Source organism: Homo sapiens, chromosome X, assembly GCF_000001405.40.
Source record: "Homo sapiens chromosome X, GRCh38.p14 Primary Assembly".
Taxonomy (NCBI): domain Eukaryota; kingdom Metazoa; phylum Chordata; class Mammalia; order Primates; family Hominidae; genus Homo; species Homo sapiens.
In genome coordinates this window covers 124,065,773-124,078,095 of record NC_000023.11, presented here as the reverse complement: position 1 = coordinate 124,078,095, position 12,323 = coordinate 124,065,773, and the positions used below count along the sequence as shown (strand labels likewise).

General features: G+C 34.5%; 1 protein-coding gene across 35 annotated transcripts in view; it reads right to left on the bottom strand.

Moving 5' to 3' along the window:
- Positions 1-12,323, bottom strand: part of STAG2 (STAG2 cohesin complex component) — a 142,097-nt gene that overhangs the window by 24,561 nt on the left and 105,213 nt on the right. For all 35 annotated transcript variants that reach the window (NM_001042749.2, XM_047441783.1, NM_001441077.1 and 32 more), the window contains 7 exons: positions 12,150-12,220; positions 11,834-11,921; positions 11,660-11,740; positions 9,440-9,532; positions 6,773-6,947; positions 1,625-1,764; positions 38-139 (listed from right to left, as the gene is read on the bottom strand). In NM_001042749.2, the coding sequence (NP_001036214.1) occupies positions 38-139; positions 1,625-1,764; positions 6,773-6,947; positions 9,440-9,532; positions 11,660-11,740; positions 11,834-11,921; positions 12,150-12,220 (750 nt within the window). The remainder of the gene's footprint in view (positions 1-37; positions 140-1,624; positions 1,765-6,772; positions 6,948-9,439; positions 9,533-11,659; positions 11,741-11,833; positions 11,922-12,149; positions 12,221-12,323) is intronic.

Here is a 12,323-nt window from a genome sequence, read left to right as displayed (position 1 = left end):
AATTGTGTTAGCTAAAGTTGGTACTCTTAATGCTTACCTGTTGCAGACTGAGAATAAGGGTCTTAGCACACTGAATTTTGTCTATCTGCCTTGTTTTACTCATTGTTTCTTTGATGATATCTCCATAGTCATTATAATACTATAAAGAAATTTGTACAAATTAGAGCTTTATCTCTTAAAACTACTTGACAATAAGACAAATTTTAGGTTAGTCATGTAAACACGTCACAAAGTATGTATTTAGCCAAAATTATGCCTTCAAAGGCAGGAAAGAATGTTACTGAAACCTAAAGATCATTTCTAAGCATACAATCCCTAACTTCAGTAAAATCATATATACAAAACAGTTAAGATCTAATCAAATTAAGCTCCAGACTTGGTTAAAATAAAGACGGTATACTGGTCAGTTTTAGTCAAAACAACAATTAGGTTATGCAGATTTTCAGAAGTAACACAAAATGTACAAACAAAATTCTCTTTGTAAAACAATAAATATAATCTCAGTTACACTTATAACTAATTCATTGATACCGGGTATACAGGCCACGAGCAGTTTAAAACTTTATTAATTTGGCTTATAGAATCTAACAGCCTATAAACAACTTTTAAAAGGAAAGCATATAAACAACTTTTAAAAGTTGTTTATATGACATTTACATTACACATTGCACATGAAATTTTTTCCTAATTTAAGATTGTGTTTCAAACACGTACAATAACAATTATCAGAGATAACAGAATAACCACGTCCCTATGACTAGTAAGTGACTTTAGAATACCTAAGACTAAAACTTTAAAATTTGTTAAATAACTTCATAAACAACCTTAGTTTAAAAAAAAAAAAACCTGGTAATTATCATCCCAAATGATTTAAGTTCCAAAATAATTTTCAATGATATTAGAGTTCAAGTAGCAAAATATTCCAGAGAGGATTAACTAGGTTTAAATATATTACATATTTTATTTCTTGAAAGCAAAGGCTTTAAAAAGTTTACATTTATAATTAGATTTTAGTTGAGGAAGGATTTTTAAGCTATCTTACCACATTTAGTCACATTCTGTTAGTATAATCAACAATATCCTGTTTATCACTACTTTCAACTTAACAAAACCTCACATATAGTTATGAAAATTATGAATAACCTATGGTTAATCAAATCAGACTTTGAGAACCAAAGGGGAAAACCTTAACAATCACAGTGGAACAGATAAAGGAACTCAGGTCACAAAATGCTTGGAGTTATTCAAGGTCGCAAGATGCATAGTAACCAAGCCAAAACTACCACCCAAGTCTTCTGACTCCTGAAACTCTTTTTAATGCTACATCAAGCAGAGGAGGAATGCCATCCTATTATCTTAAACTGAATCATACATGCTATTTCTGATAGTGACAAATTGAGAGGGGCCATCTCCAATATTCTAAATGCAAACGAACACAATAAACCCAAAATGTCCATTAACTGGAGTAGAGGTATAAGGAAATGTATTGAAAACACTAAATATTTTAAAATACAACTCTTTTACACTAGAAATGTAATTTGCCCTTAAAGAATTCAATGGCAGCCATGCATAAAAACTAGCGTTGCATTTTAAAACTATCTTGCTATCCATTTTTCAACTTTACCTTCATATACTGTTTGAAGATATCTGCAGCTGTATTCATCTCCACCACAGTATATACAATTAGCTTACAAAATGCTGCAAGTAAATTTCTTCTCTTGTGCAGAGCTTCAATTTTACTGGCTTCATCCTCTTGCTGACCATCTGGAGAAAAAGTCCCAAACATTAAGCATCTTGTATTTTATTTCAACCATGTATTTTTTTTAATTCTCACTATGAAACATGCTTTTATAAGAGAATTTGAAAAGGGAAAAACATTAAAATTAAAATTATAACCATTCATAATTTATTCCAATAGACTAAATTTTTGTGACATCAAATGATGATCAGAACAAATGGAACTGAATCACTCCATTTGTTCGTATTCCATGTTCACCTACTGAAGTCAGGCTAAACTTGCCTAACATTTGTCTACTTCCCTAGCAGGATAGTTTGTCAACAAAATCTGCACACTCAAAGTCTGTTAGTTAAGGCTCCTACGTTCCTGAACACTGCCAACCTCAGAATTTCTCCTATCCCTTCCAAGGATGATCCCACCTTACCTCAAACCCCAAAATCTGGCTATAACAGTCCTCCTTTGTACATATATTCAGCTAGACAGGCCCCAGAAACCATTCTGTCTTTTTAAAATAATCTTGCATATTTCTACTCTGATCCATTATGTGAAATCTTGACATTCAATTCTCAAGAAGACAAACTTATTTCCAAATTCGCAGTCAGGGAAGCCCCACTGCAGCCTCCAAGTAATGCAAAATAATTGTTTTACTTATTGGATACTGTAAATAAAACTAGATGAAGCTTTTTATATTAAAAAAAAAAGCTGCATACAAAAATTTTTCCCTCTGGACAGATTTTACAAATGAAATTACTTGTAAAAAAACAAAACAAAAACCACTATCCCAGGCCGGGTGTGGTGGCTCACACCTATAATCCCAGCACTTTGGGAGGCCAAAGCAGGCGGATCATCTGAGGTCAGGAGTTTGAGACCAGCTTGGCCAACATGGTGAAACCCCATCTCTACTAAAAATACAAAAATCAGCTGGGTGTGGTAGCACGCGCCTATACTCCCACCTAGTTGGGAGGCTGAGGCAGGAGAATTGCTTGAACCCGGGAGGTGGAGGTTGCAGTGAGCCAAGATCACGCCACTGCACTCCAGACTGGGCAACAAGAGTGAAACTCCATCTAAACAAACAAACAAACCACTATCCCTTGTTAAATGAAATTAAAATTGTTTATGTTTATTAGCCATTTATAATTCCTCTGGTGAACAGTCTGCGCATATCCTATAAGCTCCAATATAAGGTTCCCAATATCAAAAACTATTTTATGTATAGTAAGAATGTTCCTTCATTTAATTAATTTTTCATCCTGTCTCTGGTAATCTTTGATAACTTCTAGTAAACTAAAACCAAATTTAAAGAGTAAGAATTTAAGATAGACCATCAGAGAAAGTTTTATCTCAAATGTATGTCCCAAGATGCAACACTATTTGCTTAGAAACCTAAGACATATCATTACACTGAATACATAAAGTAACATTTTCTTAATAGCTCTGTCACTATAATGGACAATTTCTACATGACATTGTTTCCAATCGCATACAGACATTTTCCCTCTAAAGACTAAACTATCCTATGATATTCAGAGTTTTTAAGTCCTGATTTTTATTTTTCTCCACTAATGGCTTGTCAAGAATTAGCCAACTTTTTCTCTTGTGGATGTTAAGGAATGTAGAGAAGTACCTAACACACTGGGCCTTTCATAAGTGTCAGCTGCCATTATTATTATGTATTGTCAATGAAATGCCTCTAGGAGCATTCCCTATTTTACTCTCCCTTTCTAATCTGATGTAGGCTAACAAATACAATATCCAAGGGTCTACAATACTAGATGTTAGGTGAGGATGAGTAACAATGGAAACTATCATATGCTGCTGGAAGGAGGGTAAAACAATACAACCACTTTAGCAAAATATGATCAAGTTTAAGATGCACACACACTACATAATCTAGCAATTCCACTCAGGTATACACTAGAAAAGCAAATGTATATGTGCTCAAGGAGCTAAGCATTGAAATATTTGTTGTAACGCTATTTTAATTGAGGAAAAAGTAGAAATAACCTAAATGTCTAAAAATAAGAAAATGGATAAACTGTAGTTAACTTGTATCATATAATATTCAGCAGTTAGAATAAATGAATTGTAGCCACATGTCAACACTGAAAAAAATCTCAAGAATGTAAATTCAAAAAGGAAAACTGCACTGGGTGCAGTGGCATGTGCCTATAATCCCGGATACTGAGGAGGCTGAGGCAAGAGTACTGTTTGAGCCCAGGAGGTTGAGGCCAGCCTGAGCAATATAGCAAGATCTCATTTCATATTTTAAAAAGAAGAAAAAAGGTAAATTGCAAAATGTTCAACCTAATATCATTTACATGGAAGTTAGCAAGAATAAATGAACTATGTATTATTAACAGATACAAATTCTTAGTAAAATAAAATTGAAATGCAAAGGTGTGATAAACAACAAATTTGGGGTAGCAGTTATCTCTAGGGAAAATGGGAGGATAATGGGATAAGGGAGGAATACAAATGAGGGCTTCTTTTGTAACTGTGCTTTTATTTCTTTAAAAAACCTAAAACAAACACAGCTAAATTTGACAAAGACTGATGGAATGGTTATGTAAAAATCTGTTATATTTTATACTCTTCCATTGGACTAGAATGCACTTCATTTTAAAAGTGAAAATAGTGCCAGGTGTAGTGGCTCACATCTGTAATCCCAGCACCTTGAGAAGCCAAGATGAGAGGACTGCTTGAGCCCAGGAGTTTGAAACCACGCTGGGCTACACAGCGAGACCTCGTCTCTACTAAAAATTAAATAAATTAGCCAGGCAGAGTGGCACACGCTTGAGTCCCAGCTACTCCAGAGACTGAGGTGGGAGAATCATTTGTACCTGGGAGATTTAGGCTGCAATGAGCTATATGAAGTCCACACCACTTCACTCCAGCCTGGGTGACACAGTGAGACCCTGTCACACACAAACACACACATACACACACACAAGTCTAAGGAGATAAGAAGTGTGGGTAATTCTAGGAAGCTCCTAGATAAATCAAGAGTTTTGGCAAGCTTACTCTAATTCAACTCCCCATGGACTAAATGAAGCTAAGGCAGCCCCAAATTAACAAAACGGTTATGTACTAAAACTTATTTTGTATCAGGTTTTAGAATCCAACTGTACTTTCTCATAGACGTTTTAGAAGTTTTAAAAAAAGACGTTTTATAAAGTCCTATTCATTTTTTGGATTAACTTCAGTTGTTAGCTTCTCAAAAGATGTTTCAATACCTGCAGATCAGTGAGAACTTACTCTACATGCCCACAACACTTTGTACATGCCTCCATTACTTATCAAAAATTGCACTATAGGCCGGGCGCAGTGGCTCATGCCTGTAATCCCAGTACTTTGGGAGGCCCAGGCAGGCAGATGACCTGAGGTCAAGAGTTCAAGACCAGCCTGGCCAACATGGTGAAACCCCGTCTCTACTAAAAAAAAAAAAAAAAAAAAGAAAGAAAGAAAGAAAGAAAGAAAAAAAAAAGAAAAATTAGCTGGGCGTGGTGGTGGGCACCTATAATCCCAGCTACTCAGGAGGCTAAGGCAGGAAAACCATTTGAACCCGGGAGGCAGAGGTTGCAGTGAGCCAAGATTGTGCCACTGCACTCCACCCTGGATAGCAGAGTGAGACTCCATCTCAAAACAAACAAACAAACAAACAAACAACAACAACAACACTATAATTACTTGGTTCTTTTCATCCTGAATTTAATTCTTGAAGGATGAGACCTTGTCTCATCTTTTCATATCCATACCATCTAGTAAACTGCCTGCTGACCAATAAATGTTTGTCAAATCAATGTTATGAACAAAAGCATAACTAAGCCAATAGCTTAGAGTGACAGATGAAAAACTCAAAGTATATAAACTTCACTACATGGATTCTGACAACTGTTTTGGCTACTCTGGGTTTCTCATTTGTGTTGAGGTTAAGTTTTTAGTACATGAGCACAAAGCTCTCTATTGCTAAAAGTAAGCTACATGCCATATACAGAATTACATATATACTTACACCCTGATATGCAGTGATACATCAGTATGGATATATACATGTTGATGTTGTATTTTCCTTTAAGTTTTAACTTCACAGTTTGGGAGGCCGAGGCAAGAAGATCACTTGAGACCAGGAATTCAAGACCAGCCTGGGCAACATATCAAGACCCCATGTCTACAAAAAATTAGCCAAGCACGGTGGCACACCACCTGTAGTCCTAGCTACTCAGGAGGCTAAAGGGGGAGGACTGCTTTGGTCAGAGTTTGAGGGTGCAGTGAGCTAATATCATGCTACTGTACTCCAGGCTGGGCAACAGAGTGAGACTCTGTTTCTAAAAAATAAAAATAAACAAAAAATATACCTTCAAACTAAAAACAAACCCAGAAAGATGCCGCCAAATATCACTTCTTTTCCATAACCTCATGCTAAAGTAAGGCAATTAGGGTGTGTAAACAATTAGGGTGTGAAGAGTAACTTAACACTAGGAAAGGCTGGTTTGATTCTTTTCCTGTAAACATTATATACTGCCCCAGACTTTTACAGAGCAGTTTCAAACATTTTTCTAACATTCAGAAATCAAATTAATACTCCCCAAATTAAAAAACAAAAAAAACCTACGGTATACAAGTACACAACAAAAAGTCACATAAATACTTTATTCTTTCCAAATTATCTGCATATTGGTATTACCAATGAATAAGGGCAAGAGGGAATAAATTTTATTGAGTACCTGCTATATGTCCAGGCACTGTACTAGTCATTTGACTCAATTTTTAACAGTTTTATGAGGTAGTTAGAAATTAGAAAGCAGACTCAGTGCTAGTGAGAAGCAGCGATCTGACTTGAAAGCCTATACTCTGCAACATCACGTTTTCTTTACAATAGTACAAAAAAATGAACATAAATTGTGCTGGAATATATACCTGTGTTTCACGTTTTTAAGGATAAAATATATTTTAGTGCACCGATGTACATCATTGTTACTTAAGTTTGATTTTATGGTGGACACAGATTTAATAAAAAGATGGCAATAAAATTACCTGCACTATTATTATCATCATCCTGTTCAATGAAGACATGATCCAAAATAAAGCTGAGCAACTCAGACTGCAATGAAGAATCAGGGGTATACACTAATGGCTCTAACATGTCACGCCCTCCTGACATAATCTGATGGCTGAAGATCATCAAAATATCACACAGAATAGTGAAGGCCTATTTAAAAAAAAAAAAAAGAGGAAAGCATGCTATAATCCAAGGTTTCTCACTAACTGCCACAAATAATTTACATATTTAACACAGAAACAGAATCCAACTTTCTATATTTAAAAATCTTAAGAGAAATCAATGTTTAGTATTTTCCTAAGATTCTAAAGCTGCGAAGTATAATTTATGTAACAACGAATGCTTATATTTGTATAAGGCTTTACTAACTGCAAAGTAATTTCACAAATTTTTTTTAATTTTCAGCAACATTAAGTGACTTGTACAATATGTTACACACTACAAAAATATGCAGGGTCAGGACTCAAACTCATGTTTTCTAACTCCAAATCCCCTACTTTGCTCTATATTGCAATGCCCCAAGGTATTCATTCTCAAATATGAAATAATGTATAAACTTGGTACCACTCTTCACTCTACAGAAGAAAAAACATTAAAGAGATAAGTATTAGAATAGAGATCACAAAATCTATGGTACTTATTAAGCACTCTCATTGTTCACACGTGTACTGATTAAGTAGCGAAAACATAACCAGATACAGGGCTGCTTACTATTTATCAGGTAAACCTGAACATATTATAATAAACATAAGGCTGAAGTTGTATCTCAAGGAGCTTAATAAAAACTCTGCCATGGGTTTTAAATGGAGTCACAGACTAATTAATTATTTGTTGGGAAGGGGTAATGAAAATAGAAATTTAGGGTCACAAAGTAAACCAGAAAATACATTTAAAGGAAGATCATTCCTGGAAAGACAATATAATACAGAGCACAAAGCAGATCTTATTAAGAGTTTTGCCACTTTGGAACTAACCACATTTACTTTTTCTCTTTATGTTTTTACCCCTTCCTTCAGTCTCTTCTCCTAACTACTATAGTAGTAATTTATACCTATTAGCATATTTCAGTCTACAAAAACTTGCAACATAAAGAGTAAGGATATAAAGTATTAAGTATGATGATATTTACTAATTAGCTGAACTGGCAAATCAAGTGAGCTGACCAGGACACATTCTGGGAAGCTGTTGGGAAGACTGGGCACATAAGCTGTTTAATAACTAAATAATTAATCTCTATGGCCTGAGCAAGGGATTATATAGGAGGTTACACAGGATAACCCACAAGGATTATGTGTTAATGCTATAAAAATAGGGATTATTATGCTGAATATCTTGGTGTCCCATGCAATTATAAAGTAATATTTCGTGCATTAGGTTTCGATCTGTGCATGTCATTAAAATCCTATTCCAAGAGTTTAAATCTAAATTCAATTTACTACCATCAGAAATCTTGTTCCTTTCATCTGAATTATAGAGATGAAAATTAAAGTACCACACCCTTTATTGCTATAGTTCAAAACTACACACGTAAAATTGGAGAGAATTCTGCAATGCAATAGTTATGGCAATATACTTCATATTTTTGGAAAAAAATAGCAAAATTCAGTAACTGCATCTTGGCATGTGTGACCAAGCATATATGTATGGTAGGGACAAGAGAGAGCTGGAAATAAGAAAAAAAGAGACTACCAGCTGGGCATTGAATGAACATTTTAAACTATAAAAATCCAAATATGTTTTATTAAAATTAGCTTCGGTATTTTTAAATTAAATAAAGACAAGTGCCAAACAAAGGGCTGGTTATATTTGAATAACACTGAACTAAAATAAATAGTACCTAACATATCACAGTGTCCAAAAATCATAGTCAGGTTGACTATTGGGATTCTACCTGAAAAAACAAAGGTTAAGCTGTATGAAATGGTTGCAAACCTTGAAATCACCATAATCATTTTGACTATACCATATTAATAGTTCTTATGGAATGCTTGTGAAAACATCTTCCCATAAAAGCATTTGAAAAGCACGTTTCCAACGAAGCTTAATCCTCTCAATTAGGGAATTAGAATTGAACATGATGTTAGTTCTAGGATCAAACCAGGTAACAGTCTATTTCGAGAACTGAAAAGGTTAGAAGTAATGGAAGCATGAAGGCATACGCGTTGGGAAGGTAACACTTGGAAGACAGGGAAGTGATTATAAATGTTTATTTCAGAGAAGGTCCACAGGAAGATCAGGATGAGCGAGAATGCCAACATCTGATACTCTCAGAGATAACAAAACCCTGTGGACTTTTCTACCCTGGAACAAACTTGTCATATTAGTTGCTTTCAGGAATGACTTTTGTTAATTTCATACATCTATAATTTGTATGAAGTCTGTTTACCATGTGTCATAAAGAAACAACAACATAAAATGACAATAAGGGTAATCTATAATGCAATTATAAACCCCATATGAAATTAATCAATTTTATTATGCACAAATCCAATATATTAACCTATTTTTTTAGTATAATATACATAGGCAGATACAAGATATTTCTGCTTTGCTCAATCTTAGTATTATTTAAACTTTCTACATTAGTTCAGATTTTATAAAGGTTGCTTACAAAAAGATTACCATCTATAGTAATTACTAACCTGTTCCTTAACAGTAGTATTCACGTTGGTCAGGTAATGTTGACATATCTGACAAAATACTCTCATTTGTTTCTTTAAACGCAGCAAGTCCTCCTTGAAAAAATTTAACATTAACTTTTAAAAAATATTGTATAAACAATTCAGCATTTCTTTAAAATGTTTTCAATTATGTAAAACATTATCTCATAGCTTTATTAACTCTACTTCTGCATTTGATTTAAATTTCTTCCTTATAATTTATAAGAAATGAAAACAAAGAGACGGTTTGTCTTACAAATCTCACCAAATTGCAGCCTTAAAAATATGAGGTACATTAATAGATAATATCCTAAGGCTTTAGGATATTAAGAGGATGAGAAGACTTATATAATTGATATGGCAATCTTTAATAAAGCCACTAGCACAGAATGCTAATAAAGATTTACGCTCCATGCTCACATTATTTCAAGGGTGGTCAACCCATAAATGGAATAAAATAATAAAAAAGAAACAGCATCTTCCATTTCTTGTTGGAAGGATACTGCTGTATTTTATAAAAACTCAGAATGGAAAATATTTTGTGGTATTACTATAAACTTTAAAATATCTCAAACTTTTTATTTTTATTGGGTTTTTTTTTTTTGAGATGGAGCTCACTCTATTGCCCAGGCTGAAGTGCAGTGACATGATCTCAGCTCACTGCAACTTCTACCTCCTGGGTTCAGGCAATTAATTCTCCTGCCTCAGCATCCTGAGTAGCTGAGATTACAGGTGCATACCATCACACCTGGCTAATTTTTGTATTTTTAATAGAGACAAGGTTTCACCATGTTGGCCAGGCTGGTCTCGAACTCCTGACTTCAAGTGAGTGGCCTTCCTCAGCCTCCCAAAGCATTGGGAGTACAGGCGTGAGCCACTGTGCCTGGCTTACCATAAATAATTTTATATTCATCCCTTTCCTCTACTAAAAATACTGCCTTTTTTCCAGTTTAGTTTTTAACTTCCAACATAGGTGAGCAATTATACATGGTAATATAGTCACCGTTCCTACTACAAGCTTAACATTTAGTTAAATTAACTTTTTCCTAAGTGTTTGATAAAAAGCACACAATGGGCAGGGCACAGTGGCTCAGGCTTGTAATCCCAGCACTTTGGAAGGCCAAAATGCGCGGATCAGTTGAGGCCAGGAGTTCACAAGCCTGGTCAACATGGTGAAACTCCATGTCTACTAAAAATGCAAAAGTTAGTGGGCGTGGAGATGCATGACTGCAGTTTCAGCTACTTAGGAGGCTGAGGCACGAGGATTGCTTGAACCCGCAAGTCAGAGGTTGCAGTGAGCCGAGATTGTACCACTACACTCCCGCCTGGATGACAGAGCAAGACTGCCTCAGAAGGTGGTGGGGGTGGGGGGGCGGGAAGCACACAATGTTAACAATACTATATTGATTTTTCAAGAGGAAAAATCCATTTGTAGATATAACAACATCTTAAAAGCCCAGAGAAATTCTAAGTATTTAACATTATTCTGTGGGTTTAGGCAACACAAACTTATTATCAAGAGGATTACTTTTTGAAGAAAATGCCTACAAACACCTAACTCCAGAACTCTTAGAAACTGTGTGATATTTCTAAAAATGAGCCCAAACAATATTTAAGGTAATATCCAGCACTACAAGTACAATGTTTAAGCTTCCAGTTTACAAATGGAAAAGGCAGTCCTGTTTAGTTCAATTACTAAACACATTAAGGATTATCATTATGGGTAAAGCTTTAAAAGCTCTATATGTACTAATAGCTGGCGCTGGCACATTATATATTCAATCAGAAAATGATTGATCATGAATTTGGAACATCACTAGAGAGATCTTGAATATGAATAAGGTTATCCCAAAACAATACCAGAGCATAAGAAGATCTAGGGGGAGTTGGTTTATTATCTTCAATTTATGTAATCTAATACTTATATCTGTTTCAAAGGCTCTTGCTCACCAACTTTGAGAATACAGAAAACCACAGATTATGCCACCTTCAAATGTGAACAACAATTTTTAATTAAAAATCATACCTTGAAACAAACCATATCGATATCCTCTCCACTGAATATACATCAAACTACAAATAACAGTACATTAGAAACAAGCAACATTTCACTGAAATAACTGATCTCATTAAATGTGTGAGTTTGCTGAAAACAGTTAATGATATTTAGTCTAATAAAAACACTACTGAACCACCACAAACCTTTGTAGAGCTGCTTTCAGTTATCTTAGCAAGTTGCCAAAGGATTACATAGTGAGTACACTGCAGTGCGTGAATAACAATCTGTAAAAAGAATCAAAGGATACAGTTAAAATTTAAAAGTCACAAGACTTCACTTTTCAAAGATAAATGTGTAACTAGCAAATAAATAAAAACCTGCTCAGGCATGTCTCCATTTTCGATTCCAGTTTTCAAGAGTTTGTAATTACAAGCAAATAAATCCCACTTTGAAAGGTCATGGGCACTGTAAAAAAAAAAAAAAAAAAAAAAAAAAATTAAGTTTTATTAAAAAGCTAAGCCTAATGACAATTGTTTTGGACTTGACTGTTAACAGAATGCAGTAAATGCAGTAAACTTTAAAATGCCCCCACAACGACAACAACAAATTAGCTTAGAAATTAACATAACCCACAAAACATGCAAGTTTATTTCTACAGATTTAAGAAAACAGGAACTTCAAAATTCAACTTACTTATGAAAAGCAGTGATCCTCTTCAATGTTGACAATACCTGATATGCATCATCTTCATCAGGTTCTTCACCCTATAAATATTAATTATACATTAAGAACCATCAAAGTGAAAACTCCTAGGCTATCAAAATGTCACTATTACCTTGAAAAATGAAAAATAACATAACAAAACCC